Source organism: Homo sapiens, chromosome 12 (genome assembly GCF_000001405.40).
Source record: "Homo sapiens chromosome 12, GRCh38.p14 Primary Assembly".
NCBI lineage: Eukaryota > Metazoa > Chordata > Mammalia > Primates > Hominidae > Homo > Homo sapiens.
Window position 1 is genome coordinate 76,593,411 of NC_000012.12, and position 24,021 is coordinate 76,617,431.

The window sequence follows — 24,021 nt, forward strand, 5'->3', positions numbered from 1 at the left end:
TTCAGTGAGTCTTAATTATTACAATTACCCATTTATACTTATCACCAGACATGGAGCACGAAGAAATAACTCAGTGAATCCTATGTGTTCCATGCATCGGACTTCCTGTCTCCATTGGGTAGCAGCAACTCTATTTCATATGGGTAATCAAGGTCAGTTATCACCACCAAGATAGTAAGTGTTTTCATTGATGGTCCACTGACACAAGTGATCTAAAATGATCATGTGATAGTTATAGTTTCCAGTTCAATGGAGACTTCATGTGTGCCCTCATAGAAGTCCCCTTCATACCAAACAAGTGCTTCTAATCCTGAAAAGCCTAAGAATGCACAGATAGGAAGCCCAAATTCTGCAAAGGGGTCAATGGGAGTGTTGGTGAGAGCCATTCCTACAACCACCCTTTGGTTTCTGGACCTGTATATTCTGGCTATTGGAAACACACCACTAGAAATCAGCTATACTTTTTTTTTTTTTTTTTTTTTTTTTGAGATGGAGTCTCACTCTGTCACTTAGGCCGGAGTGCAGTGGTGCAATCTCAGCTCACTGCAGCCTACACCTCCCGGGTTCCAGCGATTCTCCTGCCTCAGCCTCCTGGGTAGCTGGGATTACAAGCACACGCCACCGCACCCAGCTAATTTTTGTATTTTTAGTAGAGAAAAGGTTTCACCATGTTGGCCAGGCTGGTCTCAAACTCCTGACCTCAGGTGATCTGCCCGCCTTGGCCTCCCAAAGTGCTAGAATTACAGGCGTGAGCCACTGTGCCCAGCCATCAGCTATACATTTAATGCACCTATCTTATTCTTGAGAACAATACCCTATCCTTTTGAAGTGTTAGTCCTGCATGGGTTCCTTGGCTAAGTCTTTATTAGATTATTTTATTGTTCCATTAGGATGGCCAATTTCATGTTTATGCCCCATTATTACACCTATTTTATCATAAAATGGGCTCTTTGATATAAAAAAATAGGTAGAATTCAATGCCAGTAAATCAGGCATTCAGTAAGTTCTTGTACGGTGGGTGGTGCTGACAAAGGTACCTACAACAGTGAAGAAAAATGCATACCCATAATAGGTATCAATTCTGATAAGTACAATTTGCTATCCCCTCCAGGGTTGAAAGAGTCCAATATAATCAATTTCCCACTGAATGGTTGACTAGCCTTCTTAAGGGATGGTGCCATAATGAAGACTTAGCATTTATCTTTGCTGCTAATAGACTGGACAAGCAGCAGTGGCCCAGGAGAGAGGGAGTTCATGCTATTGGATCATTCACAGCCTTTATCCCTGCCACCATGGCCATGTAATTATCATAGGCCCATTGTGTAAACACAGATATTGCTGAGAAGAGAGACTGAATGATTTCTACTAGACAAGTCCTGTCTACTTGGTTGTTTAGTGCTTTCTCTGCAGTATAGGCTCTCTGATAGGCATTGAGGTAGCACACAAATTTCTGCACACTTTGAGCCTACTCCAGTGGTCTACCCATACATTTATTCCTTGGATATTTTTATTTCCCATCTTCCAGTCTTTCTCCTCTAGGCCTGTCTGACTAACCAACCAAGCCAATTGCCATCATTCAAAGGTCCATGTACATCTATACATCAGGCCTTTTCTTCCTTTATAGAAAGTAGTTGATCAGGTACACTGCTTACAGATCTGCAGTTGAGAGAATTTCCCTTCAAGAATACCCTTAAGTAGGGTGGTTGTGTAGCAGCAGTCCATTTGGAGTTAGCACCAACAGATTGAGATGAACTTTCTGTGATTAAGATTCCATGCGCTATTTTGCAACATCATGCATTTAGTCATTTGGAAAATAGTGCTTCATTGAGTTATGCATATCTTCCAAGTGCTGACAGATTTCATGTTGAAATACCCCAAAAAAATCACATGTGTTATTGTCACCACTGATCTCATCAGAAAATTTTTGAAGAATCAAGAAGCTGCCAAATTCATAGAGGTAGATATGAGTTTTAAAAAATTCTAAATTTTGTTTGAAAGCTCAAATGTTATCATTGGCAACAAACGCTGTGAGTTGTTTTCCTTGAAGTGACGGGATCACTTATTTTTGAGAAAAGTTCTGACACATACCTAAGTCTGAATAACTATAGTTTATCTGTCTGTCATTCTTTCAAGTAAAGATAATTTTCCATGTAAAATAGTGGCTTAACTCACGACTCAAGCACAAAAATCATTTTCTTTGAGATAACCTTAGAACTTTGGTGTGCAACAGGAATACATTATGCATTTTGTCTCACAGAATTTTAAAACATACATAATCAAGGGTTGAGATTTAATAAAATTAATCATGCTATTTTATCAAGAATAATATTAAATGAAACTGTCTTGCTTTTCTGGGATATAGCAGTAAATAATTCAATGTCTACTAGTACACTTTTGGTACCACTGCCTTAATTTCTGTTAAAGCACCAACAATTTTACCCACCATTGCCTTTGTTTCATAGTGCAAATGTCAACTCACTGAGAAAGCCAAGTAATGTCTTGGTATTATTGTAAAAATAGTTTTGATCTTGTATATACTTGAAAGGATCTGGGAAATTCCCTGGGGTCTGCAGACCACATTTTATGAACCATGGTCAAGAGAAAAATCTGAGTCCTATGTGGTAGCAATCCACTTTTCACACAATTTGCCCCTCTGAGAAGAGTCTGTGCTGTTTTCACCAATCCTGGCTTTGACGCCTCTCTCATTGGCCTTTTCTGCTTGCTGATATCATGACCATCATATTCCATTCTCGGTTCTAGTTCCGTTTCCCATGTCTAACCATTTATTCTTGTCATCAAAGTAAAGATTCTTTGCCTCTTTTTGTATCTACTTGATCAAATCTCACACAAATCTTTTAATGATTCTATTTTAATTCTTGATCTTTTGTTACCAAACAGGCCCTTCAGGATAGAACTTAATTTCATTCATTATTCTTTTATTCGTACATTATTTATTTATTTTAAAAAAAACATTTTCTGCAGACCTACTATGTCATTTCCCAGAGAGATAGCATTTGCTTTTGGCCTTAAAGGGTGACATTATTTGGACAGGTTAAATGAGTTTAAGTTTTTCAAAATATAATAAATAATACCAGATTTATGGAGGTAAAAACAACAACAATAGTAGGGAGATTGCTTAGGGAAGCTCAAGGAGAATGCACACGGTGAGTAATTAAAGACAAAGCCAGAAAGGCATTGCAGCGTCATCTCATAAAGTATGTTGAATGCTTGAAGTTTATTTTGGTAAGCAATAGGGAGCTACTGGAGATATTTGAGCAGAAGCAGAAGTAATGGTGTGAAACAGGCTCAATATCAGAGTCTGCTTAAGATTTATATGGAGGAAGAATTTGGTGGGAAAAAATAAACTTGAAGCAAGAAAACCAGGTTGGAGGCCTGAACTAGGTGGGTAGGCACAGAAATGGAGATGGATGGAGTTAGATTTTGAGTGCAAGTAAGATCAGTAGGCAGTGGTGAAGAAGTTTTTGTCAAAAATAATTACAGTTTCAAGCATGAATTACTAGGAGAATGGTGAACTATTAATAGAAATCAGATAATCAGAAAAAGGAACAGTTGGTGTGAGGCAAGATGATGAGTTCAGTTCTCTACCTGTTAGGCATATAAGTGGCTATACTCAGCGGGGGCCTATTTGTAAATTTTATACCATTTACAAGAACTGGAACCTAACAGATATTAGAAGATTGTGGTTTAGTTACACTGGCTTGATATGTCTCTTTGCAATATAAATATATTAAAGTGCAGTTGTTATTTTAATTTCCTGTGGAGTTTTTCTCTGGACAAATGTAGCAGGGATATATAGCTCTTCTGTGGTTCATACATCACAAAGATTGCTCTTATAAAATGATATATACTTATTGAGTGAGTGTGTATGTCAGTTATTATGCTAAATTTTACGTATTTTACATCAACTAATCCTTACATCAGCTTTGGTATTAGTATGTGGATTTTTATAAGAGAAATCAAGATGCAAAGAGGTTAAGTAGCTTTCCCAGGGTCAAACCGGAAGCAATGTAATGACATTTGAACCCAGGTTCTGAATGGCCCTTCTCTTTTGACTCTATACTGATAAAGTACCTATTTGCCTCCTTCCCTTTTCCTTTTCATAGAATGAAAGGACATGGTGCCTGTTAGCACAGACTACTGGTCTTTACTCTATGATTGTATCCAGGGATTCATTTAGTGCCTGCTTAGGAGATCTGTCTTAGGAAGGGCTTGTGATCACTGGCTCTTCTTGGGGCAACGACTTTCCTGAGAGAGATATTAAGTAATAAAATTATTTAACTAAAAAGTCACCCCTTAAAAAGAGCAAATAAAACAGTTTTGAATTATAACTATACTAAAGTCATTAAAAAATAACAAAAAGCTACATAAGGTCCTTTGAAACCACTTTAAATTTAGACAAACAGCAGAGAATGCCCTTAATAGCAAGTCTGAAGATCAAAGTGTGGAACTCTTCCTAAAGGAAACACAGAGGATGAAGAGTCTGGAGATTAATGTTGCAGTTGGCTGATGCTCCAACACAGTGCAGTGAGCAGGGATTCACCAAGAGGAAAGATACATCTGTGCTACAGGCTTTACATTGCACTGCCTGGCACTTGGTGAATTCTTAATATATATAAGTTCCTGTCTTTCTCCCCTTTTGTATTTTACAAAATGTTTTTCCACATCTCATTGTATTTACTCTATATAGTAAAAAGAAAACCCTGATGAATAAACTGTTATCATTCCCATTACAGAGGTACATAAACCTTTACTTGTTGAAGCTGAGAATGGCTGGATAATTCTGCAGCGCAATCTCTCCAACCTGAGTGTTCTGGTTTTGCACTCTCCCTGTAGGACTTTGTCATCTGTTCCCTGACCATTGGGCTGTTAACAAAGAGTGAAGGTTTTTCCAGTAGGAGGGGTCTTTCTGGTTGGAGTCCGAACTGAACATAGATCCCACATAAGTAAAGGCCCATGACACTTTTTGTGTAACACAATTAAACTTCCTTCATGCAGTAGCTGAGGGCATTACTGTTAATCCCTTGATGCCTAGGGTTGTGTGGGTGACATCTTTTATAGCAAAGAAATACTAGTTGTTTTACTTCACAGAATTATCAGATAAAGCCTCATGGAAAGTCTCAGACATGAGATAGAGCTTTAAGGACTGGTAGGATTTATATAAACCAGAGAAGCTCTGAAGGTTTGTCAGACATGAAGAAAAGCAAAAGTGTGATGTGATCATGTTCCACAAAGGAGACCTATCTGCCAACAGCATGAAGGGAAATGAAGAGGAGATAAGATTAACTAGATCTTCAAAGTTCAAATGATGGAAGATGTTGACCATGAAAATTTTAAATTTTGGCTATAATCCAGCAATCTCTAACGTTTTTGGCACCAGGGACTAGTTTTGTGGAAGACAATTTTTCCATGGACTGGGGTTGAGGGGATGGTTTTTGGATGATTCAAGCACATTACATTTATTGTGCACTTTATTTCTATTATTATTACATTGTAATATTTAATGAAATAATTATGCAACTCACCATCATGCAGAATCAGTGGGAGCCCTGAGCTTGCTTTCCTGCAACTAGATGGTCTGATCTGGGGGCGATGGGAGACAATGACAGATCATCAGGCACTGGATTCTTATAAGGAATGTACATCCTAGATTCCTCACATGCACAGTTCACAATAGGGTTCCTGCTCCTGCGAGAATCTAATGCCACCACTGATCTGACAGGAGGTGGAACTCAGGTGATAATGCGAGTGGTTGGGGGCAGCTATCGATACAGATGAAGCTTCTCTCACTCACCCACTGCTCACTTCCTGCTATGCAGCCCAGTTCCCAACAGGCCATAGAACTGTACCAGCCTGGGGGTTGGGGACCTCTGCTGTAACCTTTTGTTTTGTTTTGTTTTGTTTTGTTTTGAGGTGCAGTTTCGCTCTTGTTGCCCAGGCTGGAGTGCAATGGTGCGATCTCGGCTAACCACAACCTCCACCTCCTGGGTTCAAGCAATTCTCCTGCCTCAGCCTCCCTAGTAGCTGGGATTGCAGGCGTGCACCACCACGCCCAGCTAATTTTTTTTTATTTTTAGTAGAGACACGGTTTCTCCATGTTGGTCAGGCTGGTCTCAAACTCCCAACCTCAGGTGATATGCCCACCTCAGCCTCCTGAAGTGCTGGGATTACAGGCGTAAGCCACCACACCCGGCCTGCTGTAACCTATTTAAGAAACATTTGGTCCCCTCCCACCAGCCAAGATGCCGAAAGGAAAGAAGACCAAGGGGAAGAAGGTGGCCCCAACCCCTGCTGTCGTGAAGAAGCAGGATGCCAAGAAAGTGGTGAATTCCCTGTTTGAGAAACGGCCTAAGAATTTTGGCACTGGAGAGGACATCCAGCCCCAAAAGGTGCCTCACCTGCTTTGTCAAATGCCCCCACTATATCAGGTTGCAGCAGCAAAGAGCTATCCTCTATAAGCAGTTGAAAGTGCCTCCTACAATTAACCAGTTCACCCAGGCCTTGGATCGCCACATAGCTACTCGGCTGCTTAAGCGGGCCCACAAGTACAGACCAGAAACAAAGCAAGAGAAGCAGAGACTGTTGGCCCAGGCTGAGAAGAAAGCTGCCAGCAAAGGGGATGTCCCCCACTAAGAGATCACCTGTCCTTCGAGCAGGAGTTAACGCCATCACCACCTTGGTGGAGTGCAAGATGGCTCAGCTGGTGGTGATGGCACACCACGTGGATCCCATTGAGCTGGTTGTCTTCCTGCCTGTCCTGTGTCATAAAATGGGGTTCCCCCACTGCATTATCAAGGGGAAGGCAAGACTGGGATGTTTAGTCCACAGGAAGACCTCCACCACTGTCGCCTTCACAGAGGTTAACTCAGAAGACAAAGGAGCTTTGGCTAAGCTGGTGGAAGCTATCAGGACCAATTCCAGCGACAGATATGATGAGATCCATTGTCACTGGGGAGGCAATGTCCTGGGTCCCAAATCTGTGGCTCACTTTGCCAAGCTGGAAAAGGCAAAGGTGAATGAACTTGCCATTAAACTGGGTTAAGTATGCACTGTTGAGCTTTCTGTACATAAAAATAATAAAAATAATACAAATTCTCCTTCAAAAAAAAACAAAGAAACATTTGGTTCTTAAGAGGGGGGAGAAATTATTTACAAGTAAAGCCACATTACCTTTCCCAAGACATGTTCTTGCATCTTTACTTCAGGCTCCTTTAATCTGCAAAAGGAGAGGTGAGGGAAGCACAATGACTGAGTAACACTAAACCACAGGCCTCAAATTTTCTAAAAGAGCGTAGCAAGCAGAGCCCCTAAAACAGTACAGGTGAATTTTTCTTCCCTCCAACAGTGTCTGACAAGAATCCTAGAAACAGGAAAATTTTCTTACTATATTGAATTCAAACCCTAACAAAATGAGAAGACTATATGCATTAGTCTGCTTAGGCTGCCATAAAAAAAAAAAATACCATAGACTGTGCGGCTTAAATAACAGAAGTTTATTTTCTCACAGTCTGGAGGCTGGAAGTCTGAGATTAGTGTGCCTGCATGATCAGTTTCCAGTGGGAGTTCTCCCCTTGGGTTGAAGAAGGCTGCCTTCTTCCTTGTATATTCGCTCACATGACCTGTTCTTTGTTCAAATATGGAGAGAGAGGGAGTAAGCTCTCTGGTATCTCTTGTTATAAAGGCACTAATTCATCATGAGGGTCTACCATGTAATCCTAATGTCCTCCTTAAGGCCCCATTTCCAAATAACATCACATTCGGTGTTAGGACTTCAACAAATGAATTTTGGGGGAAACACAGATGTTCAGTCTATAACACCATATAGCATGAAGTGATTGAATAGTGCCTCCTAATCTCTGTCATAATCACCAATAAAAAACATGATGAGGCTGGGCATGGTGGCTCATGACTATAATCCCAGTGCTTTGGGAGGCCAAGGCAAGAGGATCACTTGAGCCTAGGAGTTCAAGACCAGCCTGAGGAACATAGCAAGACCTTTTATCTATAAAAATTTAAAAAATTTGCAGGGCATGGTGGTACTTACTGGTAGTCCCAGCTACTCGGGAGGCTGAGGTGGGAGGTTTGCTTGGACCTGGGAGATGGAGGTTCCATTGATCCCTGATTGTACCTCTGCACTCTAGCCCGGGAAACAGAGTGAGACCCTGTCTCAAAAAAAAAAAAAAAAAAATTAACAAATATCTTTTGAGATTTTATGCTAGGTGTAGGAGATACAAGAATGGCTATCTCAAGGAAGTGAAAGTTCTATCTGCCTGACTGTGAAGGCATTCCATTAGTAAAACTTTTCCATTTTTCACCCTTAATGTCTAATAATGCTGTCTCCTTTGCCTTCTAATATAATCTCACCTGAATCCCCTTTCTGTTAGCATCCCCGTTTACCTCTCATTCCACTTGCACCAATTATAGAATACCATCATCTCTTACCATTGAAGGCTATCAAAGGAACCTGTGGGTTTTTCCACTGAAAGGAATTTCTCTGCCATATTGTATCTCAGCTGACATGAAACAGGCCCATTCATTTCTGCTTCAGAAAGCAGACAGCTGCATTTTCTTTGACCTGAGCCTTTATGAAATCACTTGTGAAAACTAATCCACTCCCTTAATAACCCATTAATCCATTAATCTATTAATTTGTGAATGAATTAATTCATTAATGAGGTCAGAGCCCTCATGACCCAATCACCTCCCAAAGGTCCCACCTCCTAATACTGTTGCACTGGGGACCAAGTTTCCAACACATGAACTTTGGGGAAACACATTCAAACCATAGAATACCCATAAGGCTTAAAAATCCTGTTTTAGAATATGGCATGGTAGAGAACTGAACATAAAGACCCTGATCCAATAGCTTTTGGTCTAAGACTTGTCTTTAAGTGTTAATAAGAGATTTGTGTTTAAAAAAACGAATTCAGGCTGGGCGCAGTGGCTCATGCCTGTAATCCCAGCACTTTGGGAGGCCGAGGTGGGCAGATCACCTGAGGTTGGGAATTCGAGACCAGCCTGACCAACATGGAGAAACCCCATCTCTACTAAAAATACAAAAAATTAGTAGGTGTGGTGGTACATGCCCGTAATCCCAGCTACTCGGGAGGCTGAGGCAGGAGAATTGTTTGAACCCGGGGGGCGGAGGTTGTGGTGAGCTGAGATCAGGCCATTGCACTCCAGCCTGGGCAACAAGAGTGAAACTGTGTCTCCAAAAAAAAAAAAAAAGAACAAAACCAAAAAACAAACGAATTCGGCCGGGCACAGGTGGCTCATGCTTATAACCCTAGCACTTTGGAAGGCCAAGGCAGGTGGATTGCTTGAGTCCAGGAGTTCAAGGCCAGCCTGGGCAACATGGCAAAACCTTGTCTCTATAAAAAATACAAAAATTAGCCAGGCATGGTGGTGCACATCTGTAATCCCAGCTACCTGTGGGGCTGAGGTAGGAGGATTGCTTGAACCTGGGATGTCGAGGCTGCAATGAGTCAAGATCACACCACTGCGCTCCAGTGTGGGTGAAAAGTGAGACCCTATCTCAAAAAAAATTTAATTGAAAAATTTTAAAAATTAAAAAATGAATTCCCTCACATTTATAGCTTAGGTCCCTTGAAAACAATGTAACTAGTTGTAAGGTTGAGCTGATCACACTGTCCTTAAAAAACATCAGAGGGACTATTTCTGAGTAACCAGACAAATGTGATAAGAACTTAAACTTCTTGAGTCTGCCCCTCTACAAATAGACCAGGTAGGTCTTAAAGCACATATTCCTTCATTGATGTTTATATAGAGCTTTTAGATTCCTGGTGCCAACTTTAGAGCTATATAGTCATTTATAATACCTATAAGCTGAGAGTTATCTTTACCAGAAATCTAAATGCCAGGATTGGTAATGGTTCCACTATAACCCAAATAATTTGAGATATCTTACTTTTATGTAATGGTTTTAATAATAAATAACATATACATTCAACCTGGACTCCTCCAACTAAAAAGGAAGATGTAAAACTCAAATAGCATTTCCTAAAAGGTTCAATTTTCCCCAAGTTTGGAAATGAGTACTTAAACAAAATAAATTGGGCTTTTTAGTAAGTATTCCATGAAAACTTTTCTTTTTTAATTGGAGGAATCAAGAGAGAAAAGAGATATAGGTATATATTCTGGTGAACAAAAAAGCACTTATTTGAAGTGTTTGTTGATTTCTGTAGTGTAAACACTCCCACCATAGCCGATTTCGAGCTACCGACCTGACATCATTGAATGTAGAGTTGGAAAGAGATGCATACATTTGGCTCTCATGGGCCTGTGAAAGCTGGTTCCAGCACTCACTCACTGTTACCGGGGAAAAAAAGAAATATGAACTTATTAGCTGTTAAAGATCCATAAGACTACATCTTTCCTGGATGTAGTTTTTGGATAATCCAGTATTTGGAATTAAATTTATTTTTTAAAATTATGTTTACATACTTAATAAAACTAAAGATTCCTTTGATAAAGTTTATTTTATTTTATTTTATTATTTTAAGAGACAAGATCTTGCTCTGTTGTCAAGGTTGGAGTGCAGTGATGCAATCATAGTTCACTGCAACCCCAAACTTCTGGACTAAAGCAATCCTCCTACCTCAGCCTCCCAAGTAGCTAGGACTACAGGTGCATTTTGTTATTTTTGTTAGATAATTTTTTTGTTCAACTAAATAACAAAATTAATCTAATTCTGTTATTTTTTGTAGAGACAGGGTTTCATTATGTTGCCCAGGCTGGTCTTGAATTCCTGGCCTCAAGCTATCCTCCTGCATCACCCTGATACATCTTTTAAATGTTGCACAACTTTGATGTGATTTAGGTGTAAACATGGCAACAAGTTTTCCCCAGTAAGAAATATAGATAAGGATATAAATGTTTGTTAGTAAGACAATGATACAAAAAAGACTGTGTTTCTCATCTTGGCAGTTTCTGTGCCTTCATTGTTTTCATGCCATCGAATGAGATAGACTTATAGTATTCTCCATGACCGTCAGCAAGATGGCAGACATTTCACAGTAACCTTACAAATAAGCAATATCCTCTTCATTTCTGCAAAGCTGAACAATAATATTTGAAGATGCTAAAATAAATAAAAAGTATATTTGATTAAACAACAAAAAATGCAGGAGCACATTTGCAATTTGGATTGAACTTTTTTTTTTCACCTCCAGCCCATATCTCTCTTTGGGGTTCCAACTAGTCTTTCCTGATAGTTTCATTCATGGAGACATCTGAATTTGAACATGGCTAAAACTAAACCTTTAATCTTTTCCTCCCCTTCAATTGCACTTCTCTTTCTGCCTTTCCTTCCAGCTGCTCACCCCAAAACTTGGGAATCATTCTTGATAATTTCATTTTTCTTACTTTCCATATCTAATCAATCATCAGTCCTCCTAATTCTTATCTATCATTTCTCCTGGGGTGACTGCCATAGCCTCCTAACTTGTCTCCCTTCTATGTTCCACACAACAGATACCGCATTGTTTTAAAAATGTAACTTAAAACATCTTATTTTGTGTAAATCCTTCAATGGCTTCCCTTCTATTTAGGATAAAATCTAGCATCTTTATTTGATTTTTCCATTTTGGGTTTCTTTTTTCTCTTTTAGCAGAATTGTGGCAAGAACTTCACAAACCTTAATCTTTAAAATAGCCCTGCATAATCTGACCTCTTGCTATCTGGGCAACCTCATCACCAGCCACTCTTGCCTTTGTTTGCTCACCCTAGCCTCACGGAATTATATCAATTCCTCAAAAATAGTCAATGTCTAGCATAAGGCCTTGCTTAAATTCAAGCCCCTCCCACTACTGACTGCCCTCAAAATCAATTGTAAAATGAAATCACATATGAAATACTAACATTAGAAAACTTCTAACATCTTAAAGAAACCTTTTTTAAAGTATTAATTGACTTTTTTCTTGAAAGTAATTGGCTTACTTACTGTAGCAAGGCTTGAGGGTGAAATAGCAAATGTGAACAGATAGAAGGCAAAACAATAAACTACAGTATCCCACTGGATACAGCTAAATGGCTTTGTACTATAGTGCAGATGTGTTCAACAGAATATAAGTCTTTTTTTAGTGTCCTCAGGGCAATAATATATGTATGCCATCTACCACAAGAAAATTATCACCTACTTCAGAAATGTTAAAGGCAGATATTATTATTATTATTATTATTGAGACAGAGTCTCACTATGTCACCCAGGCCAGAGTGCAGTGGCGTGATTTCAGCTCACTGCAACATCCGCCTCCCGGGTTCAAGTGATTCTCCTGACTCAGGCTCCCGAGTAGCTGGGATTACAGGCGTGCACCGCCAAGCCTGGCCAATTTTTTCTATTTTTAGTGGAGATGGGGTTTCACTGTATTGGCCAGGCTGGTCTCAAACTCTTGGACTCAAGTGATCCACCCACCTCAGCCCCCCAAAGTACTGGGATTACAGGCATGAGACACCGCACCTGGCCTTATTTGGAAGGATATAAAAGTTGTTTGGGAGAAATATTTGAAGGGAACTTTGAGATGATGGTTAGGTCTTAAGACAATTAAGTGCTTGTAACTAGAAAATGTTGAGATAAACCTGCCTCACCCTCTCAGGAGAATCCTTCAGTGTTCTGGTATCTATAGCTATATAACAAACCACCTAAACTTAGTAGCAGAGAACAACCGTCTATTTGTTATTATTTTCTCTCGTGGATCTAGGGGCCGACTGTCCTTGTGTGGTTGCAGTCAGATTATGGCTGGGGCGGGAGTCACCTTACAGGTATTTTCATCCGCATATGTGTGGGTGGATGCATGCTGTTGGCTGTGACCTCAGCTAAGGCTTTTGGCTGGAACAGGTACACATGGCCTTTGTATGTGGCTTGGGATTCCTCACAATAACTGATCTATGTGGGAGAATAAAGGTCTAGCCATCATGACCCATGTTGAGACATTTCTGAAGGGCCATTCCAGCTCTAGAGCTCTCTGTGGAGTCAGCCAAATCTGTCCTTGGGACTGGATCACAGCTTGACTTCTCCCGCTGCACAATCCTGCTTCCTTCCCTTCCCTTCCCTAGGTGCTGATACCAAGGGACTCCTCAATGAGCGTCATGCATGCTAAGTTAGTCTTAGAGTCTGCTCTTGGGGAATCTAGCCCACAACAAAATGGGAACTGTAAATTCAGTAGGAAAAGCTAGCTATGGAGACCAAAATAAGCTGGAATCACATGAGGCCAGTCAGTGTTGGTGCCAGAATTCCTACTTGGGGCATTGGGAGCAGCATTCTCCTGTGTATATGTTTGAGGATGGGAGGTGGGGGTGGAATTCACCTTGGGGATTTATTTTGAAGTGGCTTATGTACAAGTATACTATACCTTAGATTATATATTTATTTGTGGACCTGTCTGGGCAGCTTACAGAGATATGGAGATGAGAATAAAAGTTGCATTCTCCCCCACCATGCCCCAGCCATTCTGAGGATAGCCATCTATGGTTGGTGGAAATAGCTGTGGCATTCTCCAGAAAGTCTGAATAACTGAGGCACTTGGCAGAGTAATTGTTTTTTGTGGCCAAAGAGAAGCAAGAGAATAATCATGGAACAGAGCCAGAGCCTGCAGTGGAGGGCTGATGGAGGGTATAGGAACCATTGCCCTCCTTGCCCAAACTAAGATGTCCCATAGAAAGATTCACCTGAAGACTTTAAAAAGCTTGTTAGAGCCTGTCTGGAATCAACCAAAACTCAGTTTCAAAGGCCCTTATCTCTCAAATATTAGCATGGTGGACTCTCCTTTGGTTTATCGTTTTACCCATGTATCACCTTTCCAAAGAGGCTTCCTTGATTGCTCACGATGGTTAACCTAGCACCCTTTTCACTCTCTCTTTTTATACTATTTTTTATTTTCCTTTATATTGATTATCACCACATGACACAATTTCATGTATTTGTTTGTTTATTTGCCATCTCTCCTCCTAGAATGTAATCTCCAGAAATGCTGAGAGTTTGTCTATTTCACTGATCACTGTATGCCAAGCACCAGGCAATAGCATGAGATTAATACATATTTGTTGATTGAATGAATGAATGGCCATTTTCTTGGGCAATCAAAATTTCTCCCATTCTTTGTATTCTGCTAGAAATTCCAAACTCTCCAGGTATGGAAAAGCTAGGCAACAGCAACTTTTTACTGAATGTTTCCTAAATGACTTTTATTTCATATTTTTGAAATTAAGAAAATAGATTACTATAATAAGTAGAAGAAAATAGATCACTCAGGTAAAAATTAAATATACATGCTCAAACCTTGGTAAATTGAAAAATGCCTCTTCTCTCTTGATTCCCCTCCTTTCATTCCCCCAATAAAGCAAGAAAAGATCATTGCTTCTTAGTGTTTATTAGCTTGAAACACTTTTAACTTTTTTAGTGAAGAGTTCACGTGGGTCAGAATGACACATAAGCATGTGAGCCTTTCTTCCAAATCAATCAGTTGAAATGGGAACATGAATTTATTTGAGTGAGGCTATAAATACTGCCTTGAAAACGCCAACCATCACAAATAAGTACTGATAATAAACCTGAAATATACTGATACAGAGTGATGCAGGATTTTTTGCTCCCTAATTCAGCTAAAATCCAGGTTCTTGTCACATGACCACGAAAAATTAAGCATGTGGACACATTGAAAGGTGAGGAGAGTGAAATTTATTAAAAGAAAGCTCTCAGTGAAGAAAAGGGGGCCTGCCAACAGGCTCCCAACTGACAGACTGAATGCCCGGCCAGCACACACGAGGTGAAGAGGCTAGGCTCCTCTGCCGTGCTCAAGGTGCGAATTCCCGGTGGCTCCACCCCACTCTCCCAGTGCGCGGGCGGTCCCCCAGTCAGATGTGGGCATGCCCAGACAAGGCCCTGGGCAGGTTCTCTCATATGCACGAAAAGCATCTGATGTAAACACTTGTGGGGTGAGTTGGAGATTCTCTGAGTACCCTCCCTCATCTGCCTCCTGAATCTATCAAGAGTACATTATATTTCCGATGGAATAGGGTGACTTTATTCATGAAAGGCATAAATGCAGTCAACTAAGGTAGAATCATTTTTTAAAGAATCTGCTTATTAATTAGAGAGGCATCCATAGAACATCTTTTGGACCAAGTCTTCTGATTTGCTAGGAAATGTCCTCTTTCTCTGTGTTCTGGGAATTTGGAGCTCACCTCCTCAATCCATATGAAGATACAGTCTTCCTCAACTGTGACACTCTTCTCTCCTCTTAGGGATAGACATTCATTCTAGGGACATGCTGGGGACCAAACTGGGCCAATGAGACTCCTTCCTTTGAGATTTGGAATTGAGACCAAAGATTTCAACTCTTTCAAACATAGGAGATATAATCTAGTGTGGGAGTTGTTGATGGTTAATACTTTCTGCTCCATGTCCCGAAAAACAGGGAGAGACAGTGTGCAGAGACTGAAGAATGAAGGAGACTTGGAGGGGAAGCTGAGGCCTGCGAAGGAGGGCCTCTTGGTTTCCTGATGGTGTGTGGGGCCTTGCTTCCAGCTGGCCATTGAAGTCCTGCTGTATCTCTGTCCTTGGGTTCTGTGAGGCAAACTCATTACTTATTATAAATCCCCCATTCCCCACCAGTCTAGCTCATTTGGGTCTTGAAGACTAAACACTGACTTTTTTTTTCTTATATTGCCCAAATTCCTACCTAAGGGGCCTGGGGGAGACACACCCTGCAAACCATAAAGTCTCATCAGAGAGGTTTTATTTAACCCTCTATAATCTGACCTTCTTTCTCACCTGACTCTGGCATAACATCACATAACAAGGAAATAAATCAAAATATTTTAAAACCCAAGTGTATTTCCTTGTCATATTCTTGAAATGGCCCTGCAAAGTTGTCTCTTTTGGGAAAAATCCACATTCTGTAGAGAACCGCCTTTCCCTGCCCTTTTTTTTTTCTTTCCAGATCCAGGAGATAATCAACTAAGAGTCAGGCATCCTTTTAAATCCGATAAGAAAACATTGTACAGCCTCTTCTCTCTGAAGCCTGCTAGCTAAAAGCTTCCTCTACACAATAAAACTTTGGTCTCTGGCCAGACGCAGTGGCTCACGCCTGTAATCCCAACACTTTGGGAGGCCGAGGCAGGTGGATCACGAGGTCAGGAGATGGAGACCATCCTGGCTAACACGGTGAAACCCCGTCTCTACTAAAAATACAAAAAAAATTAGCCAGGCGTGGTGGCGGGCGCCTGTAGTCCCAGCTACTCAGGAGGCTGAGGCAGGAGAATGGCGTGAACCCAGGAGGTGGAGCTTGCGGTGAGCCGAGATCGCGCCACTGCACTCCAGCCTGGGCGACGGAGCAAGACTCTGTCTCAAAAAAAAAAAAAAAAACTTTGGTCTCTACACTGCCAGGTGCAGTGGCTCACACTGTAATCGCATCACTTTGGGAGGCCAAGGCGGGCAGATCACCTGAGGTCAGGTGTTTGAGACCAACCTGGAACCCCGTCTCCAATAAAAATACAAAAATTAGCTGGGCATGGTGGCTGGCGCCTATAGTTTCACCTACCCAGGCAGCTGAGGTGGGAGAATCACTTGAACCTGGGAGGTAGAGGTTGCAGTGAGCTGAGATCTTGCCACTGCACTCCAGCCTGGGCGACAGAGCGAGACCCTATCTCAAAAAACAAAAAAACAAAAAAAAACTGTGGTCTCCACAAGCCAACCCAAACATTTCCTTTCTACCGATCCCAGGTCCTTAGACAAACTCAACCAACTGTCAATCAGAAAATGTTTAAATTTACCAATAGCCTAGACGCTCCTCCCAACCCCCCGCCCCCCACCCCACAACCCTCCAAGTTGTCCCACCCTTCTGAACCAAACCAATGTACATTTTAAATGTATTTGATTGATGTCTCATGTCTCCCCAAATTGTATAAAACCAGGCTGTGCCCTAATCACTTTGGGCACATGATCTCAGGATCTTCTGAGGGCTGTGTCATAGGCCATGGTCACTCATGTTTGGCCCAGAATAAATCTCTTTAAAATATTGTACAGAGTTTGACTCCTTTTGTCAACAGTCTCTATCACTTGCCATGAAATGTTCTAACAAATATACTTTTTTAAAAGTAAGTTTTAGGCTTCTCAGGCCTGCCAATTTCTCTCCAACTACCCATGAGAAATCTCAGAAAGACAAAGAGGAGGAGGAGGAGGGGAAGTTCTTTCTTCCCTAGCAGAGAAGCAGACACTATTTAGCAGCATTAAGGTATTTCTGATAAAGGGATGAATCGAGGACGTTCACAAAAGTCCCGGTCTTAATATTCTGTTCAGTTTGGAGACACTTGTAAAAATGTATAACCCTGTTCTCCTTTCTGTTATTAAAAACTCTCTGTGAAAGATATTTGTACAAAGGAGTCTTTTCAGAGTGGCTATGTCCTCTGAAGTTTCTCTATATCCTCTGGCAGTCTGCAATTCTAATTGGTTATCTTAGAACTTGTTTCCCTAGTAATTGTATTCAAACTGACATCTCCACTATTTAAAAGGCAATTACATGTTTGCCAGATTTCTTTGTTAAGCCAGAAGAGAAGTTTAAAATGGCCTTTCCCTCTGCTTTATGGTCAAATGAAGAGCACATTCATGATTCTCTTGGTCTCCTTTTTCAAACAGGTAGGTGAGAGTTTTTGTCTCATTAACTAGAATCAGTTGGGGTTGTAACTACTTCCCATTCTTATTGCTTCCCATCCTATTGCTGTCATACAATTTATTTTCATTAACTGATCCCTAATACTGGGAAATGCATTTAAATTCCATGAGTCCTTATTTCCTATTCTTTCCCACACCATATTTAAAAGATGAGTGTTTTCATTTCTGTAACATAGGCTTGCTGTGTGTGAGGATTCTCAGGGGCTGGGCATCAGTGCTACTTGAAGAAAAACTAATTTGATTTTTATGTTCTCTTGGGGAAGTGGAAAACTCTGCAAAATTTCATTTTGTGAAGAAAGCAAACTCATTTCTGGGTGCATGTCCAAATAATATTTATTTTGTCTGATATGTTTGAGTGGTATCTTCTGGATTTTAGAGGTTTGCCTGGTTCTAGGGGTTTTTGTATGATATGTAGTCCAGGCCTGGGTAACACCAAGGTTTCTCATGCTAATGTGGGCTCACAGTGATTGAAACTGTAAGAGCAGACTGGAGCAGGGAACAGGGAGGACTAAAGCAGCTGTGGGCTGTGTAGACATTTCTCTCTCTTCACATAGCCTCTGACTTTCTCCATTTGGTCTTTCTGCATGAGTTAGTTTGGGTGTTCTCACATCATCATGGCCTTAGGGTATTTGGATTTCTCATATGGCAGTTCAGGGTTACAAAACAGAGTGTTCCAGCCAAAAAGACAGAAGCTGCGTAACGTTTAATGACTCAGCTTCAGAAGTCATATAGTGTCACTTCTGCTGCATCCTACTGGTTACAAGCAAGTCATAAGCCTGCCCAGATCTGAGATACTGATGAGGCAAAGTTCTAGGAGTATCAGACAATGTTGTATATTTTTTATTTTTGACTGTCATAGATATTTAAAATAACTGAAGAGGAGAAAGTAGACAACTAAGTAAATATAATGGACTATTTTCCCTTCTTCATTTCTGAGGTTCCAGGTTTTGCTATGGTATCATTGTACTCTCATGTGAAGAACTTCTTTTAGTATTCCTTTTAGAGCAGGTGCTCTGGCAAAGAATGCTATAAATTTTGCTTCATCTGAGAATATCTCTGTTTTATTGTCATCCCCAAGGTATATTTTCACTTGATTTAGAATTCTGAGTTGACAGTTCTCATCTTTTACCCCTTTGAAAAACGTCATTCTACTTCCTTCTAGCTTCCATGATTTCAGAGCAGGCGCTCTGGCAAAGAATGCTAGAAGTTTTGCTTCATCTGAGAATATCTCTATTTTATTGTCATCCCCAAGGTATATTTTCACTTGATTTAGAATTCTGAATTGACAGTTCTCTTCTTTAACCCCTTTGAAAAATGTCATTCTACTTCCTTCTAGCTTCCATGATTTCTGATGAGAAATATGCAATCATTAAACTTACTGATCCTCCACTTAGATGTATCCTTTTTCCTCTGGCTACTTTCAGCAGCATGATTATGATGTCTCTAGGCATGACTTTTTATCTTTTATTTATTTATTTATTTATTTATTTATTTATTTTAGTTCATCTTGTTTGAGGTTTTCTTAGATTCCTTTATCCGCACCTTTATATCTTTTACCAAATCTAGGAAGTTTTCAACTTCTATTGAAATATTTTTTTTCTGTGTCACACCCTTCCTTCTCTCCTTCTAATATTATAATGATATAAACATTATAACTTTGGTATTGTTTCACAGGTCCTTGAAGTATTGTTAATTTTTTAAAAAAACTTTTCCTCTACATTGTTCAGAGAGAGTAATTTCAATTCACCTATCTTCAAATTCACTGAGTTTTTCCTCTGTCATCTCCATTCTGCTATGGAAGCCATCTAGTGAATTTTAAATTTTATTTTGTTTTGCATATCTAAAATTTCCATTTAGTGTGTTTTTTTATGTGTTTTTATTTTTATATCTTCTATTCCTCTTTGAAGACCTTATATCTTTCCACTGGTTTAAAGGGAGGGAGTTTATGAATTTGCTAAAGAAAATGTGGTACACCATGGAATGCTACGCAGACATAAAAAATAATTAAATCGTGTTCTTTGCAGCAACATGGATACAGATAGAGGCCATTATCCTAAGCAAATTAATGCAGGAACAGAAAAGCAATTACTGCATATTCTCATTTGTAAGTGGAAGCTCAACAGTGGTACTCATGGACATAAAGATGGCAACATAGACATTGGGGACTATTAGAGGGGCAAGAGATGGAGGGGGATACGTGTTAAAAAACTATTGGGTACTATGCTTAGGACTTGGGTGACATGATCAGTTGTACCCCAAACCTCAGTATCACACAGTATATGCAGATAACAAGCCTGTATATGTACCCTCTGAATCTAAAATAAAAGTTGACATTATTTTTTTTCAAAGAGTGTTTGTCCTCATCTCTTGAAGTGTGGTTATAAAAGCTGTCTGAGAATTCTAACATCTATATAATCTTGGAGTTAACAACTATTAATTGTCTTCTCTCTTGTGAAATGTTGAGATTTGCCTGATTCTTCATGTGCTAAGTAATTTTGGATTATATATTGAACATCTTGACTATTAATTTATGTGACTCTGAATCCTGTTTAAATCATATGAAATAGATTTTTTTTATTTTTGTAGTTAATCAACCCTTTAAATCCTATGAAATGGATTTTTAAAACAATTTTTGTAGTTAATCAACCCAGTTAGGTTTAGACTACAAGTTCCTACTATCCTTCTGTGGGCTATAGTTCTAATTCAGTTCCATTTTCATATCTTTACAGTGCTATTTGGATTTGTCCCAGGTCTGGGCCACCCCATAGCCAGTCTTGGACTTGTGTAGTGGCCTACCCTATAATTCAGTTATCAAATCCTTTAGTATGCTATTTAGGGTCAGATTTATGCATGTGCACCTTGGGGGTTAGCCCAGAAGTTTGTACAATTTTATAGGATTATTTTCTTGAACTTTGTTATTTTCACAATCACCTTGATACTTTCAAGCTCCTAGCATAACCCCTTCCTGGTTCACTGGCTAGAAATCCAGGGCTTTTGATTCCTTGCCCTGCCGTGCACAGCATTTCCATTTGGGGCTAAGCAGTGAGGAAATATATAAAGAAAAATAGAGATATAGAGAAATCCAAATATATAGTCTTACATTCTTGAGACTATAGTTCCTTTGATCACACTAAATAATTCTCTTGGAGTTTTAGACACCAGCCTGGCTGCTTTTCTTGTTACAAGATTGCCAGGGGACGGTACAAGAGAGAATGAAAAATGGGGGCAAAAAAACCAGAAAATTTTCTCTACTATCTCTGACCCATAAGGACCCTCTTTTCCACTCTGTGGACCAAATTAGAGGACTCCTCTTGGAGTACTTTCTTTCTGCACCCATTGTGCGGTTCCAGATTTCAGACTGCCTTTGAGTCCAGGACAGGAGATACTGGAGGAGGGATAACAGAAAGCTTGCCACCAGTTCGGCAGTACTTCAAGTTCTGGTTTCCTTCCCTAGTCTGTCATGACCATACACTTTCCAGAGTCCTTAGATAACTGCTCTGTGCATTCTTTCCAGAGTTTTTAGCTGCATTCAGTGGGAGAGAGAGGATGAAGTACACTTACTTTACTGTGACACTCTGTTTAATAGCTAATATCTGCTTTTTCTTCTCTTAGGCTTCCTTTTCCTTTCTATTATTATTTGAGTTAGATTTTTAATCTGGCCTATCATCAAAGCTTGTGGAACCAAATGGAATGATTCCATAATTTGTTGTGTTGGTACTATGTTAACACTACACTGCCATATTGCTGCCAACAGTGCTTTTATTTTTAATTGCATTCATAAGGGTTATTTGACATAGTTTTCTCTAGTGAAACAGCAAACAACAATGAAAATAAGAACTTACCTCTTAATCTGCAAAACCAAACCAAGTAAAAATTCTCAAAAGATTCTTGGATCTGTAAACTATCAGTGTTCCTGGGTCTTATTTGGAAACATAAAATAATGAGACTGCCTAGATTAAAAAGAAAATTATATTGGATTTTTATGGTTTGAAATTTGTGTCCCCGCCCAAATCTCATGTCAAATTGTCATCCTCAGTGTTGGAGGAGGGTCTTGGTGAGAGGTGATTGGATCATGGGGTTGGATTTCCCCTTTGCTGTTCTCATGATAGTGAGTGAGTTCTCATGAGATCTGGTTGTTTAAAAGTATGTAGCCCCTCACCCTACTCTCTTGTTCTCTTTCTCCAGCTGCGTAAGATATGCCTGCTTCCTGTTTGCCTTATGCCATGATTGTAAGTTTCCTGAGGCCTCCCCAGCCATGCTTCTATACAGCCTGTGGAACCATGGGTCGATTAAACCTCTTTTCATTACAAATTACCCAGTCTCAAGTAGTTCTTTATAGCAATGCAAAAACGGACAAATACATGGATTGTTTTTGGATTCTGAAGATTCAGTGCTATGGATTTCACATGAGTTTGGCTATTTTGATTAAAATGTGGCTGTTTGTCTTTCCATCTCTGCTTTGTTTCATATTTCAGACTCTGGCTCTCACTCACTATTTATGTCTCTTTGCCCTTTGAAATCACCGTTCTTGGTCCTGCTGCTGTCCCACTACATTCTACCACTCAGTTGGTACTAGGGTGATGGTGGAATCATAGGCCTCCAATGAACCTCAAAAGCTATCTAGTCCAATCTCCTATCTGATGCAATGGCTAATTACTCTTGGAAAAGAAGTCTCTATTATTTAATTGACCTTCTCCTTAAATTTCAATTCATTTTTTTAAAAATGTGAACTCTAGGCCAGGCGCGGTGGCTCACGCCTGTAATCCTAGCACTTTGGGAGGCCAAGGCGGGCAGATTGCCTGAGTTCAGGAGTTTGAGACCAGCCTGGGCAACACGGTGAAACCCCATCTCTACTAAAATACAAAAAATTAGCTGGGCGTGGCGGCATGTGCCTGTAGTCCCAGCTACTTGGGAGGTTGAGGCAGGAGAATCACTTGAACCTGGGAGGCGGAGGTTGCAGTTAGCCGAGATCATGCCACTGCACTCCAGCCTGGGCGACAGAGCAAGACTCTGTCTCCAAATAAACTAACAAAAAAATGTGAACTCTAACAAGTTTATGCAGAATAAATACACATCACTTATTTTTAATAATCATAAATGTTTTTACTAAAACTACTATTTTGAGTTTATCCAAAAAACTCAATAATATAATAATAATTATTTTCAATGAGTTGCTGGTTTAAGTGAAACAATATAACTATACACACAGGAAAAGGACAGGCACAGGTCTATACTCTCAATAAGTGCTGAAGGAAAGGGAAGCCTCGGGAATGTTTGGTCAAAAACCTCTGCTGGGTGATGTAGTCTTTAAGCTTTCCCTTGATGAGAGTGGCTCAGCTGGAGAGATGGAATGGAGGGGGTTAGGAGAGGGCCCTTCAGGCAGAAATGGAACAACCAGATCTAGACTCACAATGGAAATAAGAAAAGCATAAATAAGAAAAGCATGAATAACAGAAAGTGAAGGAATGAGAATGAGTGGCACTGATGTATGTCCTACTCTGAAAGGTAAAAAGACACGGAGTTCCAATAGCCAAGCTCTACCTTTCCGGAAGACGGAGAAACACATTTGGAAAGAATACAAAGCATATGGGCCTGGGGTTTAGGAATGAGAAAGCATCACATTTTAGGATGGGTGATGGTTAAATGTTCAGCCTTGCCATAGGACCAACCTGGATTTAAAGTTTAGGTCTTCTTCCTGCTGGCTGTGTGACCTCTCTCAGGAAAGGTTGTGTGTTTCCTCTCTAGGAAAGTTATGCCTACCTCATCAAATAACATGTTTGTAAAATACTCAGAGTAATGGCTGGCACAAAGTAAACACTTAGTAAATGGTAGCTCTTCTTCTTACTATTATTTTTATGGAAGCTCTGAAGTGGTTGAAGATGGGCTTGCCCCCCTCATTTCTACAGCAATTCATTAAGGAAATATTTTCCAACTTGGGAACTTTTGTCTTCGTTATTATTATTTTTGTTATCATTATCTTTTGAGACAGGGTCTTGCTCTGTCACCCAGGCTGGAGTGCAGTGGCGCAACCACAGTTCACTGCAACCTTGACCTCCCAGGCTCGAGTGATCCTCCCACCTTAGCATCCTGAGTAGCTGAGATTACAGGCACTTGCCATCATACCTGGCTAATTCTCATATTTTTTGTAGAGACAGGGTTTCGGGTTTCTCCATGTTGCTCAGGGTAGTCTCAAACTGGGCTCAAGTGATCCTACTGCCTTAGCCTCCCAAAGTGCTGTGATTACAGGCTTACAGGAGTGAGCCACCATGCCTGGCCTCTTTGTTATTATTAATTAGCATTCATATAACATATGA

At 40.2% G+C, this 24,021-nt stretch overlaps 1 long non-coding RNA gene and 1 pseudogene across 1 annotated transcript in view, besides 1 other annotated feature; both read left to right on the top strand.

Moving 5' to 3' along the window:
• Positions 1–22,021, top strand: part of LOC105369850 (uncharacterized) — a 55,530-nt gene extending 33,509 nt beyond the window's left edge. The window contains exon 4 of the long non-coding RNA NR_188081.1: positions 21,893–22,021. This is a non-coding gene — a long non-coding RNA (uncharacterized LOC105369850). The remainder of the gene's footprint in view (positions 1–21,892) is intronic.
• RPL7AP9 (ribosomal protein L7a pseudogene 9) lies at positions 6,242–7,120 on the top strand (annotated as a pseudogene).
• Positions 14,468–15,667: an enhancer, noted in NCBI's record as "MED14-independent group 3 enhancer chr12:77001658-77002857 (GRCh37/hg19 assembly coordinates)". NCBI's record gives its function as "activates an origin of replication core promoter dependent on BRD2, BRD4, P300/CBP and CDK7 cofactors, and independent of MED14, by STARR-seq in HCT116 cells {active_cell/tissue: HCT116}" and the evidence as "EXISTENCE:reporter gene assay evidence [ECO:0000049][PMID:35650434]".
• Positions 22,022–24,021: the final 2,000 nt, after the last annotated feature.